The 25,275-nt window shown below is 37.3% G+C and overlaps 1 long non-coding RNA gene across 1 annotated transcript, besides 4 other annotated features; it reads left to right on the forward strand.

The window, feature by feature from the left end:
• Window positions 1-15,393: 15,393 nt before the first annotated feature.
• On the forward strand, window positions 15,394-24,538 carry LINC01873 (long intergenic non-protein coding RNA 1873). Its single transcript, NR_130931.1, has 3 exons — window positions 15,394-15,437; window positions 21,487-21,583; window positions 23,001-24,538. It is a non-coding gene; the product is annotated as a long intergenic non-protein coding RNA 1873 (long non-coding RNA).
• Window positions 16,390-17,584: an enhancer, noted in NCBI's record as "E4 enhancer". NCBI's record gives its function as "enhancer in posterior lateral mesoderm" and the evidence as "EXISTENCE:transgenic organism evidence [ECO:0001131][PMID:24022755]".
• Window positions 21,925-22,219: an enhancer, noted in NCBI's record as "tiled region #4056; K562 Activating DNase matched - State 3:PromF". NCBI's record gives its function as "activates a minimal TATA promoter and a strong SV40 promoter by Sharpr-MPRA in K562 cells {active_cell/tissue: K562}" and the evidence as "EXISTENCE:reporter gene assay evidence [ECO:0000049][PMID:27701403]".
• Window positions 22,912-23,524: an enhancer, noted in NCBI's record as "H3K27ac-H3K4me1 hESC enhancer chr2:66617956-66618568 (GRCh37/hg19 assembly coordinates)". NCBI's record gives its function as "activates a minimal SCP1, AML or CMV promoter by ChIP-STARR-seq in primed H9 embryonic stem cells {active_cell/tissue: H9 hESC(primed)}" and the evidence as "EXISTENCE:reporter gene assay evidence [ECO:0000049][PMID:30033119]".
• Window positions 23,525-24,135: an enhancer, noted in NCBI's record as "H3K27ac-H3K4me1 hESC enhancer chr2:66618569-66619179 (GRCh37/hg19 assembly coordinates)". NCBI's record gives its function as "activates a minimal SCP1, AML or CMV promoter by ChIP-STARR-seq in primed H9 embryonic stem cells {active_cell/tissue: H9 hESC(primed)}" and the evidence as "EXISTENCE:reporter gene assay evidence [ECO:0000049][PMID:30033119]".
• Window positions 24,539-25,275: the final 737 nt, after the last annotated feature.

A 25,275-nucleotide genomic window follows, 5' to 3' on the forward strand; every position in this document is an offset into this window, starting at 1 on the left:
GGCACATAAGAAAGATTCTCTAATACTACTGCAGAAATAATCATGTATGTGTGCAGTTTGCACTCCAAGAATACAGAGCAAAGATCTGTTATTAATTGTTACATATTGGGGGACATCTCCCAGTGTCCTAAAATAGGACATTGGCTAAATAAATAATAACATATCAATATGTATCCCTGAGAAGATATAGAAAATAATTTACTAACATGGAAAAATGTTTATTGTGTGTTAAGTTTTAAAAATGATTATGAAATGGCCCATTGAGTGTGATCCACGTTTATAAGTATGTGTGAATTTGTAAATAAAACAGTGACTAGAAGAACGTACCCTAAAAATGTTTGATAACAGATTTTCTTAAATGGGGGTGTGGACAAGTTACAGTTACTCTTTTTTTTTTTTCCTTTTGTAGACCAGTACTTCCAAGATTTTCACCAATAAACATATATTACTTTTAAAAAATCCAATTTTTAAATTTCAAGACATACTTACATGTTAGTGTGATTTTTCTTCCTTTCTTATAAAAAGCCTTCAAATATACAGAAAATTAGAGAAAACAGTACTAGGACTACCCTTTTTTCATCATCTAGATTTAACAATTTTTTACATTTTGCCATTTGCTTCATCTTTTTTCTTGTAGTATTTTAAAATAAATTCTAATCATGAAATTTCATACCTATAAGCTTTCAGAGAATTTCTAAAAATAAGAGTACTTCCTTACTTAAGTGTAGCTAACAATATTTTATATTATTAAGTAATAACTATTTGTAAGTATGAACTCTTCTATTCTTAGGTAAAGATAATTTTTTAAATGATACCATATTTAGAGATATCATGAGGCAGGAGTCAGGAAACCTAGCTTTTAGACTAGGCTATGTGTAGACTTGCTACACATCTATGAAGCCTATGAGGTCCCCTCTTCTCATTTGTAAAATGAAAGGATTGAGCTAAATGACACTTTCCAGTTTTAAAAATCATATTTTCTTTGGGGGCAAAGAAAGAAACAAGTACATTTTCAAAATTAAAGAAATTTTAGGGAGTTGAGGGTGGGAGGAGAGAGAGGAGCAGAAAAAATAACTATTGGGTACTAGGCTTAGTACTTGCGTGACAAAATAGTCTGTACAACAAACTCCCATGACACAAGTTTACCTATGTAACAAACCTGCATATGTATCCCTGGACCTAAAATAAAAGTAAAAAAAATACAAATTTTTTTTAAAAAGAAATTTTAGGGTGAGAACACCACCAAGGAACTAATAGGAGCTATAACATTAAGGAAAACTTGAAATTCGAGAATTTGAGAGAGGAGATATTGAAAGATTTTTCTAATTTGACCAATAAATAAACACACGTGTGACCTTTTGTTTAACCAAAGTAACTCTTGAACAACTGTCTATCTCCCAGGGATGCGTTTCTGTATTTTAACTTTTCCCAGTCTTTGCGTAGCCCCCTGGCTGTTTGATTCTTGTAATTATTTTGTCCTGTCACAAGGCAGTCTCCTTTTGGCAAGAACCTATCCAGGGAGCTCTCTGACACCCAGTTTAATACACAGAAGTGTTTGGCCAGGGCCCCATCCCTGCATTTACATCACAAAGTTGAGTGGTCTTCTGCACCACTTTTCTCAATAGGAGACGACCTTAGAAAATGTCAGATTCAATTCCAGCTTGAGGCACCACTGTCTGGGAGCCTGGCTGTTATGCACCCACTGGTAGGGCACTGATTCCAATTCTTCAGTTATCCTACACCCAAAATAGAACTAAGTCTTTCCCTGCAGGCAGCATGACAAAAATGTATTGTTTTAGACTTGATCCATATGTTTGTTTCATTCTTTACCAAAATAAAGCTGCAACACTAGCTTGAGTACTAGCAAGAATAAGCTTGCACTAGACACATGCTGTCTCTGTCCACATGCACACTCTCCACCAGCTCAGATGAAATCTGCTTCCAGCCTCTCTAATTATGGAATAACCTTGATAAGAAGTCTGACAACATGGATTCTCATTCCTTCTCTGCTATAAACTGCTATGTGGGCAAGTCCCTGAACTTCCCAGGGTCTCAGTTTCACAGCTTATAAAATGGAACACCTGGACCTAATTATTTCTTCTTTTTCTTTCTCTCTTTTTTTGTTTTTTTGAGATGAAGTCTTGCTCTGTCACCCAGGCTGGAGTGAAACGGGGTGATCTCGGTTCACTGCAACTTCTGCCTCCCGGGTCCAAGCTATTCTCTTGCCTCAGCCTCCCGAGTAGCTGGGATTACAGGCACCTGCCACCATGCCTGGTTAATTTTTGTATTATTTAGTAGAGACGTTTCACCATGTTGGTCAGGCTGGTCTCGAACTCCTGACCTCATATGATCCACCTGCCTTGGCCTCCCAAAGTGCTGGGATTACAGGCATGAGCCACTGCACCTGGCTAATTATTTCTTTTTTTAAAAAAAATTATGTTTTATTTTAGATTCAGGGGGTACATGTGCACATTTGTTAAATAGGCGTATTGTGTGATGTTGAGATTTGGGTTGCTAATGATTCCACTGCCCAAGTAGCAAACATAGTACCCAATAGGTACTATATTTTTTCAACCTTTGTCCTCATCTCTCCCTCCCCCTTTCAGGAATCTGCGTCTATTGCTCCGATCTTTGTGTCTGTGTATTCCCAATGTTTAGCTCCCACTTATTCATAAATGAGAACATGCAGTATTTGGTTTTTTGTTTCTGCAAAAATTCATTCAGGATAATGGCCTCAACCTGCATCCATGTTGCTGCAAAGGATATGATTTTTTTCTTTTTTATGTCTGTGTAGTATTCCATGGTGTTTGTGTACCACTTTATCTTTATCTAATTCACCTTGTTGATTTCTTTGCTACTGTGAATAGTGCTACATTAAACATATGAGTGCAGGTGTCTTTTTGGCAGAATGATTCTTTTCCTTTGGGTTTATACCCAGTAATGGGATTAGTGGATTGAATGGTAATTCTATTTTTAGTTATTTGAGAAACCTCCAGACTGCTTTCTATAGTGGCTGAACTAATTTGCATTCCCCCAGCAGTGTATAAGCGTTCCTTCTTCTCCACAACCTTGCCAACATCTGTTTTTTTTCTTTTTCACTTTTTATTAAGTAGCCATTCTGACTGATATGAGATGGTATCTCATTGTGGTTTTGATTTGCATCTCCCTGATGATGAGTAATGTCAAACATTTTCTCATGTTTGCTGGCCATTTGTATGTCTTCTTTTGAGAAGTGTTTGTTCATGTCATTTGCCCGCTTTTTAATGGGATAGTTTGTTTTGGATCTGATTATTTTTAAAATGCCTTTAAGATACACAGTACAGTGTTTCTAAGTGCACTTTCTTCCTTTCCTGGGAAAAATGGTATTCCTTATTCATTCATAAATATTTCACTTAAATATCCATTTAATAAGAATATATGAAGAATATTCATTCATCTAATTTCCCACCCTAGAGGCAACTACTTGATTAGTTCCTTGTATTTCCAAATATAGTCCATCAAATTATAATTACATATATCCTGAAATTTAATCTCAAAATCTTTAATTTGATTTCTAAGAATTTATCCTACTGATAGACTTAAACTTGCTTGTGAAGATACATAGTAAGGGCACTTGTTGCAGTGTGGTTAATAAAAGCAATGAATGGAGTAATCTGAACCTTCGTTAAGTATATTGTGATTTGTTCATACTAAGGCCATTAAAAAGAAAGAGGTAGCTTTATAGCTACCCAGTTTAAACCTGACCCAGTTAGGAGTCTTTCTGTTGTAAATAACAGAAAATCCACTACAAACTGATTTAAATATTGAAGGAGATGTATTGGGTCACATAAATGGGAAATTCTCAAGGACTTTGTTTCTTGTCATCTCTCTGCTCTGCTGTCAAGGATGATAGCTTCATCCCCAAACTGGTTCTCTCATGGTTATAAGAGACTAATCAACCATAATTAGGGCTACGTGTTTCTTGCTTCATTCCAATGGAGGAGAAAGTGATTCTGCCTCAGAATTCCAAGCAAAGACCCTGAAGATTACCTTGATTGTATAAGCCTAGATCCTGCGCCAGGAAAATGGAAAGCATTGATTGGTTTTGGCCAGTCAGTCCAGGATGATGCGCTTCCTGGAAACCTTGCAGGGGAGCAAAGACACGGAAATGAAAACCTGAGTACGGCAGGTGTTTGAAAAACGCTGTTTCCTTATAACTTGGATGAGAAAAAAATCCATTCCTAGGCCACTATCTGTGTGGAGTTCGTATGTTCTCCCCACATCTGCGTTGGATTTCTCCCCTGGTACTCCAGATTCCTCCCACATCCCAAAGATGTGCAGCTTGAATCTGCGTGTCTGCATGGTCCCAGTGTGTGAGTGAGGGTGTGTATGTGAGTGTGCCCTGTGAAGGAATGGCGTCCTGGCCAGGGCTGGTTTCCGCCTTGCACCCAGGCTCTGGCTGCCCGTGACCTTGAACTGAATAAGTGGTTTAGAAAATGAATGAATGTAAATGATTATAAAATAAACATTTGTAAAGTATACAATAATCATACAAATGCACACAATAAATGATGTGGTTCCAAAGCACTCAGCAAACCTGCCAGGTTTGTGATTGTTTTTGAACTGTGTGGTAATAGAAGGTGCTCCTTAAAATTTTTGCTTTGCAAGCATTTATTCCTTAATTTAACCCACCACCACTACAATCACCATCACTCACCGATTCACCAAAATTGAGTAATTATTACTTGTTTCTATTAATCTTTCTTAAATAAATGTATAGCTCGCATTTATTTCAATGTTTAAGATTGATTAGAAGTGTTTGGGGTCTTTATTTAGAAGTTTGGTGATGTTTCTGTGACCAGAAATATGCTGTAGGAGCTTAACTCTTGTTTATATCAATTACCCTGTGGTAAAACTCGTTTTGTTATATGTCATTTTGCTTAAAGTTGCAGTTTCTAATAACCTATGAACCATGTTAAGTGAGCACGTACTGTATTTCAGGGAAGGAGAAGGAGAGAATGGACATCAGTCAGGCATCCATCAACTGTCCATCATAGCATGAGACTATGAAATTACTTCTAAGATACTTTGTTAAATGCAAAAGGCAAGATATAGGAGTGTGAGCAAAATATGTGACCATGCATGTACAAAATCATGCCTATTGATATAATTTGGATGATTGTTCCCTCCAAATTTCATGTGCAAATATGATCTAGAATGTTGGAGGTGAGGCTTGGTGGGAGGTTTGGGTCATGGGAGTGAATTCCTCATGAATGGCTTGGTGCTTTCCCCGTGGTAATGAGTGAGTTCTGGCTCTATTAGTTCACGTGACATCTGGTTGTTTAAAAAAAAAAGTCTGGTGCCTTCCTCCTCTCCATTGTTCCCTCTCTCTTCCCCTTCTACTATGAGTTGAAGCTTCCTGAGGCCTCACCAGAAGCATATGCTGGCACCATGCTTCTTGTACGACCTGCAGAACCATGAGACAAATAAACCTCCTTTCTTTATAAATTACCAAGCTTCAAGAATTATTTTATAGCAGCACAAATGGACTAACACACTTATATATGTATAAAGTGTTTCTAACAATAATTTTAACCTCACACACATTCATTCATATGCATATAAATGAAAGTACCCATGGGGGGAAAAATAATATAATTTTAAAAACCCAAGTTCTGGCTGGGCACAGTGGCTCCTGCCTGCAATCCCAGCATTTTGGAAGACCAAGGCAGGAGGATCACTTGAGTCCAGGAGTTTGAGATAAGCTAGGGAAACATAGTGAGACACATCTTTTAATAAATTTTAAAATTAGCTGAGTATGGTGGTCGTGTGCCTGTAGTTCCAGCTACTAGAAAGGCTGGGGTGGCAAGATGGCTTGAGCCTAGGAGTCTGTGAGCCCTGATCACACCATTACACTCCAGCCTGGGTGACAGAGGGAGCTCCTGTCTCAAATAAAAAGACAAAAAAATAAAATTCTAAGATTCTATCATACGGTTGAATATTTTCAGATAGTCACTTGGAATGAAGGGTACTAAAATAGCATTGGAAATGCATCAGCAGCCCCTCCACTGATTTTGTCTTTCCACTCTGAATGATACTGTTCTTCAGAATTCTCAGGAAATGAAGAGTACTCAGTAGAAGAAAACAAACTAACTCATCATGCAAATGATATGGTAACAAATAATATATACATATTTCCTCAAATCAATATACAAACACCACTCCTCCTGAAAGAGTTTTTAAACAATACCCACGAACTAATCACTGCGAACTCCACAGATGACATAAATCCGGAGATACTTCTTTTCAAACTGAGTCTCAGAAATACTCAGAACTTCTCAATCAGTTGCTCACTCAAAACTGCCAGGAATCCTGACAAGTTCTGATAGTTTCCCAAATGCTTGCTACTTAGCGGGTGTTATATATCCATGAATTGGTATAAAACTGAGTTTTAGTAAACTGAAGAAGAATTGGAAAAACATCTGCTTTATAGAGTTACCCCCTTCCTGGGGAAGAATTAGAGGACTTTACATAGTCAGCCTACAGAGCTAAAGAGTAAGAAGCCAGTAATGACTTCAAACACCCATTGCAAAATGCCAGCACTATTTTTGCAAAAAGAAAATTGAAATATAGATATATGTTTGTCTGTGTGTGTATACAGTGCTAGATGCAAAAACTAATTTTTACAATAGATTATAGGATATCAAGTGTTTTCATAGGTGGAAATAGATCAACAAAGAGAACTGGAGTTGAAAAATGTGAAGTGGTCAAAACATATGATTTTCTTTGACATATAAGAGGGAAGGCTTTGTTTGGAAATATTGTCACTAAGTATTCATTCATTCATTCAACAAGCTTCTAATTTAATGTCTGTTATGTGAAAGGTACAGTGCTGAGAATTCTGATGAGGCAGATACATTAACCACATGGATACCAAAAGAAAAAAAAAACATATTTGGAAAGTGGGTTATTATTCAATGTGAGCCAGACAAGAAGGAAAAGTTATAAACATTCATGAATGCCAATCAATCACTTATAGGAGGAGAAATATTGCAGTGGGGTAACTGTTGCTCATTTAGTATTTTTCACTGGGAAAAATATGTGGATGGGGTAAAACGGTATAGTGATAAAACATATGAGCTCTGGGTCAAGGGGCTAGCAATGTCTAGAGCGCTATTGACCAGCTGCATTAACTGGTCATTCCTTAACCTCTTTGCTCCTTGGTCTATCTAAAATAATGAAAGTAAAGTTCTTAGCATGGCTCCTAGCATTTAATTAGTGCTTTCCACAAGTTAGCTATTTTTATTATGATTATTAGAGTTTAGTTGAGCCTCTGTTTACTGTGTTTAGCATTATCTGTTTCTCTTCTTTATTTTATTATATATAGAACAGGATAGACTATTAACAGGCTTACCAATAATGATGTTTTAGGGAAATAGGAGGAAGAAGAAAGATTACAGAGAAATTACCTATTTACGTTAAAGTTGTATTTGCATGTATTTATTCACTAGCAGCCCAGCAATTTTACCTTTTGAATATTGCTCTGGCCTCTTAATGTTGACTCTGTGGCATTTTAATGAGCTGTTTATTTGGCAAAATGTTTACTTATAACTTAACTACTCATTTGGTTTGTTCCTACTTTAATTTTGATTCTAACATGTTAGATAATTTTAATCTAATGTTTCTCTGATCTTCATGCACAACCCAAACACGTGTATAAGAGCATTCATTTCAAAGCACAGCAACGCTCTTTTGGTGGTCTTGTTTTGTAGGGGCAATGGGGTGGGGAGAAACAATCTATTCGGAAGCAACTAATTGTAAATGAGCAGTAAGTCAAAGTATCTCTTTTCTGGAAGACTGATTTAAAAATCTTTCTTTGCATTACCTTGTCTTTATGAAACTTGTAATAAAAATGTCCTAGAATATCCCACAACAACTCTTTGTAATGAGATACAATTCAGCTTGAAAGCTAAAGGATGCAAGATCATTTTGATGAGATGTCACGTATAAGGCACTGATCTCTGAGAGGGATGATATGGAATCTCCAGAGTAAGTCATCAGTCCTAACAACTGAAGAACTGAGAAGAGAACCAGGAAAAAACTGTTACAGGTAGGAAATGCAGTTATTTATGACTCATTCCTGCTGCCCTGTGAGTGACTGATGTTAAATTTCCTCAAAAAGTACCTCGAATTAGGAAGACAACTTTTCTCTGTCAGCCTGAGACTATATATCTTTAAAATGGGAGGTGACTCATGACCATTTTTAACACTGATTAACCCCCCAGTGTGATGTTCACATATAGAAGAGTATGACTTCGAGCTTCCTGAAATGTATCGTCTGAGAAAATAGTGGGAAATGCTATACAGAAAAGAAGGGCCGGGATTGAGAGGGGATGAGAAACCACCCCTGCCCTCCAACACACAAGCAAAATATTCACAATGTATTCATTCCTCCATACTGCTATTTTTTCTGCTATCTTTGCCTCTTAGCTTGCGGGGCATATCTCCCAACACACACACACACACACACACACACACACACACACCCCATGAGAGAGAGAGAAAGAAACAGCTAGATCATCTGGATCCATTTAGGGGCTGAATTTCCTAAGTGCCAGTGAGATAAACAGACCCTATAATATAGTTGTCACCTGAACAAACCAATGTTTGATCAATGTTCCATTTGCCTGGTGGAGTGTGAACCTTGCCTGAGTGCTGAAATGACAAATATTAGTAAATTATTATCATCAGCCATCATCAGACAGTTGGTTCATTGTCCTGCATGGAGTGAATTATGAATTAGGAATCTATATGTAGCTATAAACGGTACCACAGCATGACCAGATCATTGAACAATTGATTCAGCTGCTCCATGCTTTCTGAACAGATCAAATCCCTCATCCGGAACCACTGAATCCGCAGTGGCATCTCTCCCCTAGAAGCTCTTAGCACTAATGCCGGTACCAGTAGTCTTCAATCATTTTCAATGATTAGAATCAGTTTAAAAGTAAGCATGCACCATCAACAGTTATATAGTTGTTAATTTATAAATTAAAAATTGCACATTATGAAAGACATTGAATAGGAATTAGAAAAGAGTGAGCTAAGAGGAAATAAATATTTAAGATATTTTTATTTTATTTATTAACAATGCAAAAAATCTTTTTGCTCTCACCTAAAATGTTAATGTGTATAGTTTCTTCCTGGATATTTCTTATCAACATTCAAAATCTTGGTTTTATTTGAAAATGCTTGGTTTTATTGTCTGTTAAAAACTTAAAAAGTTACTTTACAAAGATGCGTCAGTCTGAATGAAAGAGGCATATCATATCGTTGGTTACATGTACCAAAGAATTATGTTGGCCGAGTTGGCCAGGCGCGGAGGCTCACGCCTGTAAACCCAGCACTTTGAGAGCCCGAGGCGGGTGGATCACGAGGTCAGGAGATCGAGACCATCCTGGCTAACACGGTGAAACCCCGTCTCTACTAAAAATACAAAACAAATTTAGCCGGGCGTGGTGGCAGGTGCCTGTAGTCCCAGCTACTGGGGAGGCTGAGGCAGGAGAATCGCGTGAACCCGGGAGGCGGAGACTGCAGTGAGCCGAGATCATGTCACTGCACTCCAGCTTGGGTGCCTGGGTGACAGAGCGAGACTCAGTCTAAAATTAAAAACAAAGTTTATGTTTAATTTTCAGTCTCATTCTACTATTATCAAATAGCTTTTGTTGAAATTTGGCAGGTGAATTTTCATGTTCCCTGTTAGAAATGAATCAGAAGGTGTGATGTGTTAATATTTTTGATGCACTGATTCAAAACTCACTAAAATTCTTTATTTTGAGGAATTTTAAAAAGATGAGAAGATTTTACTTTCCAAGTTCTTAAACTATAGAGCTACAAGGAGCTTTATAGGGAACATATATGATTTTCAGAAATAAAAATTACATAAAGTTGTAAATATTTTAAGAAGCAATTTTCAAAATGTTCTCCTTAGAGAACGAAGTTTGTTTCCAAAGGCAGTTTCTTCTTCCTTAATGTTAAAAGCGTCATTAGCTTAAGGAAAGGCTCAGAATGAATGTAAATACATATTTCAAGTAACCTTTCTGATCCCTCTGATTCCCGCCCCCGCAACCCCCGGCCTTTTTTTTTTTTTTTTCTAACATCTGATCTGATCTGGCTATGTCATCATTGCTTTTTCCACTGTAAAAAGACTTTTCTCAAAATGAAGAGTTTTTCCAAGGCGCAGAAGGCCAGGTCAGCCATGTGGTTTTTGCTCATTTGTGTGTGCATTATTCATACAACATTGTCTTCAGATTCTGTTTTCTTGATGAACTCTTTTGGAGCCACTTGTCCATTTTGTGAGAATTCATTTAAATTATTACTGTCAGCATAATTGCATAGCTGTAAACTGCAACATGTCTATATGCTAAGTGAACAACTAGGGATGCTGTGGATGATCCAGAGGGTTTTGGAATTTCCATTCTTTCTTGGGAAGCTTACTTACCACATGAAATTACGGTAATAAATGAATGAGACTACCGGTTTCAGTCCATACATTTAATACTTCAGAGCTTAACTGATTTCTTATTTTATTAGAAATACTTAAACAGTGTTTTAGACTTTCTTCCTACACCTGCCATATTGGATCCCCTTACACAGCCCACTTGGGGGACTCCTGGTCTATCTAACTTCTTTGACTTCAGGGCTTTGCATAAGCTATTCTCTACCTGGACCATTCTGCTCTCCCTCTCTCCTTAGCTACCAACTGCTACTTACCTTTCCGGTTTCATCTGTAATACCATTTCCTCATGTAGACATTCCCAGATGTTCCCTGTGCTCTCAGTTTAGGCGAGGTCTCTCTGTCATAAGCTCTTACTGAACCCTACTGCTTCCTCACAGAGCCCTTCCTAGCACATAGTAACAGATTTACCTGTGTGGTTGAGAATGGGCTCTCTACTCTCCAGAAAATGTAAGTTCTCAGTCCGTAAGAATAGAGACCATACCCATATTCCATTGCATGCTCAGCACTTAGCGCTGCGCTTCACAAAGGGCATCCAATGGATATTTGCAGAATAAATGAATGAATGATTGATAGACTATGAATCTGGGACTTACTCATTTACGCGACATCATAGATCACACAGTTATGCCCCCTTATGTAATTGATAGGAAAACTATAACATAAGAGGTCTATGTGGCACACTCCAGTCACACTGTTAGTTGATAACAGTAGTAGGAAGAAAACCTGAGGCTCTTGGTCTCCAGGCCCAGCACTTTTTGTACGCATTTCAGAAGGTGCTAAAGAAAAGCTAACTTTGAAAACCGCCTCCTTATTTAGATAATCAGATATCCTGAGACCAAAAGCCGTCTTGAAAGAGCATATAAAATAAATTTATGAAAATGAATACTTAAAATCAGTAAAACATATGTAGTCATGATTGTGTTTAAAAAAAAACAGTAAAACAAAGGATCTAGTAGAAAAGCTTTGTAAAAACCATGAATTGCCAATTCATGGAAGAAGAAAAAGAAATGACCAATTAATATATAAACAATATATAATGTAAGGAAAGTATAATATAAACTGAAAAGATGTTCTTTTTCCCCAGCATAGCCTAAACATTTAGAAAATTTAGAAAAATTCATCATATTCAATGTTGGCAAGAATGTGAGAAAATGAATACTCTTATAAATTCTTTGTGAGAGCCTGAATTGGTACAATCCTTTGAAGTCAATTTAGCAATACTTATTAATATTTTAAATGTGATTATCTGATGACTTAGCATTCTTAGGAACTAAATATACAGATGAACAAACAGGTGAATAATAATATATTATCAGATGTTCCAGTAGTATTGTTCATTATAGTGAAAATTGGAATACAACCTAAATATTCACCAGCAGGAAAATCATGAAATAAGTCACTGTTCAACCAAAGTATGGACAAGTATGTAGCCATTGAAAGAGTTCACTAGATCTGCATGTGTTGATTTGGAAAGCTCAGGTATATCACCAATTTTTTAAATGTATAATAAGATCTCATTTGTGCTTTATTTAGTTTTAAATAAATGTTAAGATTTTCATAATGGCTACGTCTGGGAGGGAAGTAATATGGGGGCATATAACAGTGGGGACCTTCGCTTTTTACTATATATGCTTCAGGATTGTTTCCTTTTCTTTCTTTCTTTTTTTTTTTTTTGAGACGGACTCGCTCTGTCACCAGGCTGGCGTATAGTGGTGCGATCTCGGCTCACTGCAACCTCTGCCTCCCAGGTTCAAGCGATTCTCCTGCCTCAGCCTCCTCAGTAATTGGGACTACAAGCACGCACCACCATGCCCGGCTAATTTTTGTATTTTTAGTGGGGTTTCACCATGTTGGCCACGATGGTCTCTATCTCCTGACCTCATCATCTGCCCGCCTTGGCCTCCCAAAGTGCTGGGATTATAGGCGTGAGCCACCGCATCTGGCCTCCATTTTTTATAAACATGTATTTCTCTTGCAATTTAGTTTTCTGCCACCTTATTTGTTGATGTTGTTTAGAGTCTCCAGATGGGGAAAGAGCTTTCTCACTCCCTGCCACTGGTATTCATTAAAGTCCTTACGGACTAAGACATCCATACCTGTGCTGAGAGGTGCTGTGGGAAACTGGCTAACTTTCTGTACCTTCCCACAAACACATCAAGATAGCCAACTAGAGAGATGGCAGAGAATGTTTCCTATACACACCAGCTCCTAAGACTTACACACCTTCTTACAACTAGGTCTGGACAGAACTGTGCATACACACTGCAAACACCAGCAGTCTCCCTGCAGTGTCATACTCAGACCAGTGCCTTTTTCCCAACAAAAGTTGTAGGAACTACATAGCTCATCCAGCGCAACTTTCCAGCATCCCTTTCCATCCCGTGTGTGGGGCAAATCAAATCAAGAGGAATACATATCAGGGGTTTCTCGATAAGCAATCATTAAATGAATGTGCCAGAATCCTTAGTGGTGTTAAATTTGTACAAAAAGATAATGTTCCTTAAGACATTGGCCCTTCTTCTCCTCTTCTCCCAGCAAACTCATCCTATGCATCAATATCCATCTGTAAATCCACTAGCTTTAAAACTTCCCTGACCAGCTCAGCTTAAAGTAAGCTCCTCCTCTAACCCAGTCATTCATGCTTACTCTGTTAAACTGGCAAGAGACTGCCCGGTGACATCCCACCTCTTGCTTTCTTCAGCTATTTAAATCTTTGCTTATTGTTTAACTTTATGTTTGTCTAATTTTCCAGACAGAGTAGGAACCTTGTGTTAAACTGCTCTATATACAGCCTTGCCATAATGAAACATCTAATAAATACTTTCAAATTCAAAAAACCACAGACAAGAAAGCCAGAAGGGCATGAATTCTTTTTACTTTGTTGATTGATGTATTTGTGCTTCCTTCTCTCCTTCCAGAGTTTAATGTTCACTATTCGTGAGAATAAATTCAACACCTAAAATTAATAACGAATTTCAGACATATTTGATGTTAATGTATAAGCCCAAGAAGACTGAAAAACTCCACAGTAGCCAAGAAGTGCAAGTTAGCAAAGAAGAAAGAGAAAAACTGATTTCAACTATAGAATGATATTCATGTTTCACATCGAATAAAATATCATGAAAAAATGATATGAAAACTTAAAAAGATAACTAGTCTTGTCAAATAGAAATGGGTGGTGTGTGTGTGTGTGTGTGTGTGTGTTTTAAATTTAAAAATGAAATTCAAGGCTCCTTTGCTTAATGAAGCTAGTTCTTTCATCTTTTAAAATGACAGGTAAAGTAAAAGCTGAAGTTTGGGGGGAAAGGGAGATTTAAGGGCCTCCCTTCAGACATTAATAAACACTATTCCACATTCTAAAACTATTAGACATAATTTGGCATAATTGCCAATCTTTCCTGAGCAAATGCATACAACTCAGTTGTTTTACCTACTAACCTCTTTCCACAAAGAGAATGATCACCCCAATTGGGGATCCAAGGTTTATGCTTTCAGAGAGGCATTTTGAAGAAATATATTCTTGATCCTGTATATTAAAACAGAAATTTTATTTTCTCAAACTCACCATAAGGAGTGGAACAGAGACACATATTTGTTGACACCAAAAGATATTTTCTAAGATGCTTGTATAGAAGAAAATTTATGTAAGGAGAATGAAGCCATTTATTTTTATTTCCTTTCAGCCAAATTCCACTTTAAGTTTGTCGAATTCAGAAATTGTATAGACCTTAAAAATATTTTACTCTGTTAACATATGCTTTCTTATGGTGATTTCCTGTCCAGCTTGTCTCATCTGTCCAATTTAAATCTTAACCCCTCAAGGCAGATACTGTGTATTTTACAGTGTTTTCTTCAGAGCAGTATTATGCTGACAAGTTCAGTAAATCTTAAACAGCAATAGATCTTCCTTTGTCATTCTTCTGCTAACTTTTAGTTTGTCTGGCTCCCTAATTTCAATGCTTGTAGATCAGTGTCCTTTAACTGAACTATTGTAGTAGTAGGAATTTTCTAAATTTTGATTATTCACTTGGGATCTATTCCTTAGAATATAGCAAGAGGAAAGAAGAAAGAAAAAGATCCAGGAACCGGGGAGGGAGGGAAAGGGTCATATTGATTACAGTGAAACGAAAGATAGTCTTTCTTTCTTATTTGGGTAGGATATAGCTTTTCAAAGACCACCAATGCTTCTTAACAACGGATAGGATATTTTACTATTCCTACTATATTTTAAACCTGTTCATTTCCTACCTTCTCACCCTATTTGTCAAAAATACATATAATAATCAGTAAGTTAAGAATTCACCATTGATGTCAATTCACAGAAATGTTTGCTGGATTTTTTTTTTTCTTTTTTGAGATGAAGTCTCACTCTGTCACCCAGGCTGGAGTGAAGTGGCATGATCTCAGCTCACTGCAACCTCCGTCTCCCGGGTTCAAGTGATTCTCCTGCCTCAGCCTCCCTAGTAGCTGGGATTAAAGGCACGCATCACCACACCCAGCTAATTTTTTTTTTTTTTGTATTTTTTTTAGTAGAAACCAGGTTTCACCGTGTTAGCCAGAGTGGTCTCGATCTTCTGACCTCGTGATCCACCAGCCTTGCCCTCCCAAAGTGCTGGGAGGAGTATTTTTAAAGTTGTTTTACCTTTGTACATACTGAAAAGCATCACAATTAATGAGAAAAATAAATGCAGAAAATCCTTCTATATTAGAAGGCTCTCCTGGGTCATGCAAACTTGTTAACAGATATTTCTTCGGGATAACTTGAGAACCTTCACAGTAGACGATGCTAGTGCTGTGCTGACTATAGTGTTTACAATGAATCATTGAATAAATTGTTACCATCCACGGAGGCTGCCTCTCTGGATAATTAGCAATTTCAATTTAAGGAAGATACTATAAAGTACACTTCAGCTTCGACATCAGTAGACCAAACACTGGGGTAAGTAGTTACATTAGACTGCTTTAAATACTACCTAGAACTTTTATTTTTAATCATATACTCTTATAAATTTCTATCTAAAACATTATATATAATCCTTTAGAGCATGTAGTAAAAATTTGAGATCTTATAACACAGCAATGAAATTACACTATAATTTTAGTGATTTGTCAAAAGACTTCAAGATAGAATTTATTTTCTGTACATAAGTAACAGAATGTAGAAACTGTGCCTACTATTTTCATAGCTTTTCTTTTTTTCCAGTTTTGTATGCGCACTTATAACAATAAGAGATGTAGAACATTCCATACGGTCACTAATTTGATTATATCTCTGTCTACGAATTAAGTTGATGGGTGCATTTCACTCAGGAAATTCAGTGCTCTGAAGTTGAAATACAGGTTTTATGACCTATGTACCGATCTCTATTTTGTTACTAAAAAGACCTTTAGACATTCAACACTAGGAAAAGATTCTCTGAGGCTTGATGCTGCTTTGTGACTAAGATTTTTAAGCAAGAAGAATTTACTCAAACGTTTTTGCAAGTTCATAGTTCAAAAAAGTTCTTATTACAATCAATAAATAAATTTAACATAAATTATCTCAGTTGTTATTTCATAACTTAAAAAATAGAAAAAAGGTGCATATATATTATTTGTCCCAGATTTTGAACTAATAGAGGGAAAAAAATCCTTTTCTCAGGCAAGATCAAAAATAGACCTTAATAAAATTTGACCCAATGACTTCTCTTACTTCATTAGCCCTTCACACAATACCCAGGAAGATCACGAAATACAGATACAAAAGAAAAATATACGATCAGATCATTATAATGTATAGTCTCTGAGATGATTTTCATAAATACATAGCTGTTTAGAAAAGATATTATTATGAAAGACAAAGCAGAGATAACATATGTAATTAGAACCATAATACTTTAATAACATGGTATTCTCCAAAAAGCTCAAAACACATTTTTAAAAATTAGCACCTCATAATAATCATTATAGAAAGGTAGGTATCCTATATGTGACCACCAGACTTTAACAAAGAGGTAGGTTTTTATTTATTTTTTTTAACAGCTTTGTGTTACACTCTCAGAAATGTATTTTAAAATTAAGTGATCAGAAGACATTACTACTAGCAGCATTAGCAGAGAAGAGCCCTCTATAAAATCACCAGTGAGACACTGAATCATTTCTTCTGTTAGTGAAAGTCATAGGCAAAAGTTCTAAAATTCTACAATTACAAAAATAAATCAAGCCAGTGTGTCATTTCTGCTTTTCTACATTAATAAATTAACCATGTAACATTGTTCAAAATTATGTCAGTTACGCATATAATAATCTTTTAAATTAATGAAGTGATGAAGCAGTTTGATGACACCCATGATTTACAGGGCTGCTTTTAGCTAATGTTAAAAGCCTTTCGCTTAATAAATTGCCCCCTTGAGAAATTACCAAAAATGAATATTTTCAATGCTAAATGTTTCAAGGTTTACACTTTTTAAATATATTAACAAATGGCAAGGGAGACACATTTTTCAAAATATATCTTCTTTTACATATATTTAATTGAAATTAATTAGTATATTACTTTAAAAGGAAATGATTATACAGGATCATTTATGAGAATTTTTGTGATGCAATAAACCTGAATTTAAACAACTAAATTAATCCTATCTTTACAAAATTTGTAGAATGAATTGAGAATCATTTCAAGCTTTTTGATTAAAGAGAAACAATTCTACAAAATCTACATTCTTAAAATATAGCTAGTGCTCTTCATCGATATTATTGCTTTAATTCTTTGTTTGCATTATTTATCAAGATTGAAATGGTATTACTAATAAGCTTCATAATTTTTATAATAATTTGTGTTTTGTTCACCTTTATCTAAACATTTCTTTATGAATTGTTATATGTGATATTAACTCCTGTGTATTTCTCAGTTTTAATAATGAGCAACAACAATCAGACCTTACAGTCAAAGTACATCATTTCCATTGTCTTGTGGTTTTATGTGGCCTCTGAGACATGTCTGAATACAGGAGAAATAATATCTTATGGAGAGATGTTATGTAAGTTCATTAGGAAAGCAAAATAGATTTCAGACAATCCAGGATATGCTTGTGTGTCATAACAGCAAAAAAGAAATGGAGCTAAATATAACTAGCAAAGAAAGCCTGAAATTGATGTTCCCTGTGCTTATGGATTTGTTTTTCATAATGTGGAGCCTGATTTTTATTACACTTCTGAATTAGTAATGTGCCTAGTACATTGGGCCAATTTCTTTCAAAGCATTTGCAGCTCCAGCCCTGAAAACAGAATAATTAATTTGTGCTTCTTGAGCCCAACAGATGTAATTTTAGGCAGGCAGATGTCAAGAAAATAACTTTTAGAATTCTTATAATTGATGGCAATGTAATGGAGAATTGCCTGTTGGCATTTCAAATGATTTTAAGGAATTTTAAACTTTCATCAATGAATTTTTAATGCATACTAATAATGGACTCTCATGGGTTTGTAGCCTATGCATAGTGAAACAGAACTTTAAGCATAATATTATTTTCCTTTAAAAATGGCTTGGAGAAAGTAATAAAGTGTTGGAAATGAAAGACTTCCCTTTTTTATAATATATAACTGCATCAAACTACTCATGAATACAATTATTTGAGTCAGTCATATTTTTGAGAGTTAATAAAGAAAATTTGAAAGAATCAATGGTCTTTCAAATACACATATCCAGTATATGAACATTTGCAGAAGGATCCCTGTTTACTACTAGAGCTATATTTACATTCGCATCACTTCTCCCACCACCCCCCCGCAAAGGAGCCTGTATACTCCCTAGAGGTCTCCGTGCATTTTGAAGAAATATCACATGAGCTTTAGGATGGCAAATTGCAAAATATTACACATCTCAAAGTTTCAAATATCTGATATTGCTAGCACTGATATTGAAGTCTTTAGTGTCATTGGGACTATTTCCAAAAAGTCCTTCAAAGAGTACAAAATTATATAGGTGTAGAAATTGACAAAATTCTTGTCTGGCTGAACTAAAATCTACGAAAATCACAAGAGAGGTGGGAGGGATATCAAGAGCTCTCAGAGAACCTGTGATTATCAACAGAAAAGCAGCTGGCCCTATTTAGGGATGGATAATTTTAAAACATAGAAGTTTAATTTCTGATGGATCAAACCACATGTTCTAATCCACACTAACTATGGGAAATATGATTTTATGTCTCTGAATCTTAGTTTTATCTGTGCTTAAAGTGGACTAGAGCTACCTATTTTTAGCGAGAATTACAGCATCTTTTTCCACCCTCCTCTGTTGAACTGTAGAAACACAATGAGATAACATACGAAAGCATTTTTAACTCTTTGAAACAATTGTATCATATAGACCTGAGATTCAAGTAACTTGATTTTTCCAATTTGTGAAAGTAGATAAGGAAGTAAGTACAGACTAAATACATATTGATAGTGTATGCACATGTTTTTACATATCTGAAATTCTTATATGGTTTTTATGGCAAATTTCCTTTTTTAAGTATGTTCAATTGTGATAATAAATTTATATTCCCTGTGCATGCTTCAACAAACTACTGAGAAGAGGAGGACAAGAAACTTTCTCCAGCAGTGGAGGAAAGCTTGATTTTTTCCCTATCATGTTCTAAATGGAAACCTCATTGGAAACTTTACGTCTTAAGTTTATAGAAACAGACACACAGTGGCTGCGAGGCTTACAGAAGTATCCGCGCTCTGTCCATTTTTAAGGCTGCACTTTGGAAGTTGGGCAAATCTTTTACTTTTTACAACACAGAGAACAGCAAAGCTGCTGCTGTTTTTCAAAATAGAGTGCAGTCTGCCTCACAGAGATCCAATAAAATGCTCTATTTATTGGCTAAGCATTAACAGTGTCTCTTATTTTCCTCCTGTGACCCTCCTTGGCAGTTAGTCACACATTCCGAGTAAGCAGACGCCACAAAAATATCCCTTATGTATATGGAAAAAGAAAAATCCTAATTGGCCATCGACCTCTTCCTTCCAGCTTCCCTGGTGTCATAACCCAGTGGCTTCCAATTTGTCACCCCTAGGGCTGGGCAATCTGGACTAAGAAGATGACAAGGCAGGCAAGGCTAAGCACCAGATTCAGGGCCAGTTCCTTGCCCTACCCAGAATTGTCACTTCGATGAGCAAAGCCCCACTGATGGCCATCACTGTCAGCTGAATCAGCATTTGTGAAAATGTAGTGCACACCACAACACCGTGTTATTCAGAGCAGTGGTTATTACTTTGTTTTTATTTTATTTATTTTTGCTGTTACCTTCTATTCATAGCTGTAATATTGCAATTCTATTTACAATAATGACATAAAATTCCCTTTTAAAATAGATTTATTTATACTTTAAAGAAGATTTAGAGAAGTCTTCTATGCAACTAAAGTTATGCAACTAATAGCATAAGGAAGCAAAGACATGGCAATAATCATGAAAATGATTTGTGAATAGCTGAAGATGAGACCACACTGAATCAAAGAACGCTAAAGCGATTGTGGGGAGAAAGTGACCACTCTCCCTTTCAGCTAGATTTTTATAATTACAGAATTTTATAGTAAATTTTTAATTTGATCTCTTTATGGCAATATCAAAGTAGATATGATGTATTATTATCACCACTTTACAGATGGGGAAACTGAGGATCAGAAGGCTCAGGCAGTTCACTAAAAGTCACACAGTTACAAATTCTGAGAGAAATATTAAGCCCTCAAAATGAGGCTTTCTGCCCCAAATAGTACACAATCTTCCGTTTCCCAGGCTATTCAATGAAGAAGATCACATGAAAGCTGAAGAGTTAAGTATTACCTTTGTATTAAAAGCAACATTTCAGTACATTTTCCAGCCATAGATACAAAAGGAAAATTCCTTCTGAGTAATATGAGATATGAACCTAACTGAACTAATTAATTCATGATGATGTTAGAAGGTTAACTACCCGATGGTGATAAAACATTTTACGGATGGAAAAATGCCATATTAAATACTAAAAATTACCATTACTTGTATCACTTTTCAGTGCTTATATTCAATAAAATTATAGGTAAAGAAAAAATATTAATATCATGCAGTTTTGACTCTTCTGATCAGTCCTTGGAGAGATGTTATTTAATCCTGTTTGTCACTATTGTGGGGATATCAGCATTTGTCACTGAGGACTGATGGATCAGGTAGTTGATAAACATTTAGAGACGTGTATATCCAGGAGATGCCAACACTTTGTTGTTTTATAGGAAAGAATGAAAAGTATTAAACTTTGGTTTAGCCGCTATGTTTGTTTAAAAAGAAAAATAAAACAGAAGTCATAATTTGTGAAAGCAGAATTTGTAGTTTCAATAGCATATTTAGACATGAAGCTGTACTTTGGGACTACAATTCGTGACATCCTAAAATTAAAATGGTTCCTCAGAAATGTAAACACTTTGACGTGAAAAGGTATATGCTCAGCCCCAAGCCAAAGTTACATATAGTGCCGGCAAAGTCTTTGATACCTCTAGTCAGTCAAATACACTCAAGATCTCAGCATGGAAAGCCATGTTTTCTGATCCGAAACAAAAACAAAACAAAACAAAACAAAAAACCACATAAACAAAGATGTCTTTTATCCCTGCAATTTTCCAATTTAATAGCCAATTTGAAGACTCTAATAGGAAATTTGATTTGGCTTTTCATAAGAATACTGTTTCACAGTATAATTTATATTTTTTTCAAAAGAATAAAAACCCTGCTGGTTTTAACTGTGTACTTTTGCATTTTCCAAGAAAATATTTCCTTTAGCAATATGGACAATATCAACTTGATACAAAGTAGGCATGTAATCTGAAATAACACTCTGAAGTGTAAAGAAATGTAACCTAAACTCAAAGTGAAAGGCTAGAAACCACTTACACAGGCATAATTATTTGAACCCCCGACCTTTCATACTGAAATTAGTGAGCATTTTCATTTTCCATATGCAATCACTTACTGTCCTTTTTCTTCTATTAGTGTTTCAAGAAGCAAGGACATTTAAATGAAAAAAGAAGAGGAAGAAAGCCCTCTGTTAATTTGAAGCTGAGCATCTGATCCACTAAAATTGACAAAAGTATCCTCTTGAAAACTGCCACTTTCCAATAATACAGCCCCACAGGAAGGAGATGTGCTGGAGAAAGAGCCAGTTAGTATGACTATTCTTTTCTTCCTATCAGTGGAGAGTCATGTCTTTCACTGCAAAGAGTTATTTTTCAGATTTTTTGAAAAAGGGCTTTCTTATAGATGAAACTACACAGAAAACTCATTTGTAAATGTCCCTGTCTGAACACTTTTCCACTCACTTCAGTGTTATGAGTAGGAGTCCTTTAAAAACCTCAGATGATGAATTGTTCTGTGACATGCAAACAGCTCAAAACCTGTTAGCTTTGAGAAGCTCACCACTAGCAACTTGCCTGTTCCCAAGTGTCTTGATTTTGATTGGTCAAGGAGAGGGCAAAAAGATTAAAATCTGCCTAAGCCAAGTGAGTATGCTTCACATATTTAAGGTCTACTTGACTCAAGGAGGGGAAACTGACCCGGCCATCAGGCCATAGATTTTACCAGCCCCACCCTGAGTTCACATAATGAGTCATAGCCCAACTTCTTATAACTGCAGAGGGAGGCCGCTTCTTCCCTTTCTCAAAGTAGTTGGCAAACTCCTCAGAGTGATGACCTCTCACAAAGAGTTAGACAGTCATTAGCGGCTCAGCCACCAAGCCTATTGGTGTGGACTGAAGGGGAATCATTCTGCTGAAGTAAAACATGACTTTGACCTGGACGTCAGAGCAAAGCAAAGGTGGGACACCACAGCATGGGGGGTGCCCAGATGGCAGAGGCCAGGAAGTCTCCGAACAAAAGGGAAAGAAGAAATCAAACAATTTTCTGCTCCATTTTATCTCGATTCCTTGACATCCAGACCAAACCTGATTACACGGGCTTGTGTTAGGACTGGGCAGACCTGAACATGTCTGTAATTCAGGCTGAATGAGCTTTCCTGAAGTTCACATGCATACCTCAGGTTTTCCTACCACTTTCCCCCCTGCCCTGCCACTCTCAAGACCACCAGCCCCCCTCTTTCTACCCTGCTATGGATTCTCAGAATGCTTTAAAGAAGGTGATAGTTGAAATTTGGAAGAGCTTACTTAACAGTGGTGAGGGGAAAAAAAAAAAAACAGAACTCATTTTTGCACCAGCAGCTCCTTTTCCCAGTATAGCCAAATAATGACAGTTTAATTCAAAACATTCATCGAGAAATTCCTATACAAAGGCCACTAAATGAAAGAGCAGACAGCAAAAAAGCATCAAGGTGTGAGAAAAGGAGAATAAAGCTTTTGAATCAACTCTGCCAGGATACCCTTAAACAGAAGTGGGGTGGGGGAAACCAATCTTAGAATTAAGTGATTTGCGTAAGATTAATCTGGAAGGAAGGGAGGGGAACCAAACCTTACCAACATTCACCAAACTTTAAAAAAGTTTTTCTTAACCAGGAGTAAATAGCATAATCGTATACCTGGGGATTCATGCCGAAACTTCTGAATCAGACACCCTGGGGCTGGGAACTAGTCAGCCAGGGTGTCTTCTGGATCACACACCCTGGAGAATGTGGACTTTAACATTTCTTCTGAGTAATTTTGGCCTCCAGCCTGAGTAAGGATAGTTCTAGACCTATAGTTCTTAAACCTAGATGAGTAATTATAAGAATTACCTAGGGGAGGAGCCAAGATGGCCGAATAGGAACAGCTCCGGTCTACAGCTCCCAGCGTGAGCGACGCAGAAGACGGGTGATTTCTGCATTTCCATCTGAGGTACCGGGTTCATCTCACTAGGGAGTGCCAGACAGTGAGCGCAGGTCATTGGGTGCATGCACCGTGCACGAGCCGAAGCAGGGCGAGGCATTGCCTCACTTGGGAAGTGCAAGGGGTCAGGGAGTTCCCTTTCCGAGTCAAAGAAAGGGGTGACGGACACACCTGGAAAATCGGGTCACTCCCACTCGAATATTGCGCTTTTCGGACCGGCTTAAAAAACGGTGCACCACAAGATTATATCCCACACCTGGCTCGGAGGATCCTACGCCCGCGGAGTCTCGCTGATTGCTAGCACAGCAGTCTGAGATCAAACTGCAAGGCGGCAGCCAGGCTGGGGGAGGGGCGCCCGCCATTGCCCAGGCTTGCTTAGGTAAACAAAGCAGCCTGGAAGCTCGAACTGGGTGGAGCCCACCACAGCTCAAGGAGGCCTGCCTGCCTCTGTAGGCTCCACCTCTGGGGGCAGGGCACAGACAAACAAAAAGACAGCAGTAGTAACCTCTGCACACTTAAATGTCCCTGTCTGACAGCTTTGAAGAGAGCAGTGGTTCTCCCAGCACGCAGCTGGATATCTGAGAATGGGCAGACTGCCTCCTCAAGTGGGTCCCTGACCCCTGACCCCCGAGCAGCCTAACTGGGAGGCACCCCCCAGCAGGGGCACACTGACACCTCACACGGCAGGGTATTCCAACAGACCTGCAGCTGAGGGTTCTGTCTGTTAGAAGGAAAACTAACAAACAGAAAGGACATCCACACCAAAAACCCATCTGTACATCACCATCATCAAAGACCAAAAGTAGATAAAACCACAAAGATGGGGAAAAAACAGAACAGAAAAACTGGAAACTCTAAAACGCAGAGCGCCTCTCCTCCTCCAAAGGAACGCAGTTCCTCACCAGCAACGGAACAAAGCTGGATGGAGAATGACTTTGACGAGCTGAGAGAAGAAGGCTTCAGACGATCAAATTACTCTGAGCTACGGGAGGACATTCAAACCAAAGGCAAAGAAGTTGAAAACTTTGAAAAAACTTTAGAAGAATGTATAACTAGAATAACCAATACAGAGAAGTGCTTAAAGGAGCTGATGGAGCTGAAAACCAAGGCTCGAGAACTACGTGAAGAATGCAGAAGCCTCAAGAGCCGATGCAATCAACTGGAAGAAAGGGTATCAGCGATGGAAGATGAAATGAATGAAATGAAGCGAGAAGGGAAGTTTAGAGAAAAAAGAATAAAAAGAAATGAGCAAAACCTCCAAGAAATATGGGACTATGTGAAAAGACCAAATCTACGTCTGAAAGTGATGGAGAGAATGGAACCAAGTTGGAAAACACTCTGCAGGATATTATCCAGGAGAACTTCCCCAATCTAGCAAGGCAGGCCAACGTTCAGATTCAGGAAATACAGAGAACGCCACAAAGATACTCCTCGAGAAGAGCAACTCCAAGACACATAATTGTCAGATTCACCGAAGTTGAAATGAAGGAAAAAATGTTAAGGGCAGCCAGAGAGAAAGGTCAGGTTACCCTCAAAGGGAAGCCCATCAGACTAACAGCGGATCTCTCAGCAGAAACCCTGCAAGCCAGAAGGGAGTGGGGGCCAATATTCAACATTCTTAAAGAAAAGAATTTTCAACCCAGAATTTCATATCCAGCCAAACTAAGCTTCATAAGTGAAGGAGAAATAAAATACTTTACAGACAAGCAAATGCTGAGAGATTTTGTCACCACCAGGCCTGCCCTAAAAGAGCTCCTGAAGGAAGCGCTAAACATGGAAAGGAACAACTGGTACCAGCCGCTGCAAAATCATGCCAAAATGTAAAGACCATCGAGACTAGGAAGCAACTGCATCAACTAACAAGCAAAATCACCAGCTAACATCATAATGACAGGATCAAATTCACACATAACAATATTAACTTTAAATGTAAATGGACTAAATGCTCCAATTAAAAGACACAGACTGG

The sequence above is a fragment of the Homo sapiens genome, chromosome 2 (genome assembly GCF_000001405.40).
Source record: "Homo sapiens chromosome 2, GRCh38.p14 Primary Assembly".
Taxonomy (NCBI): Eukaryota; Metazoa; Chordata; class Mammalia; order Primates; family Hominidae; genus Homo; species Homo sapiens.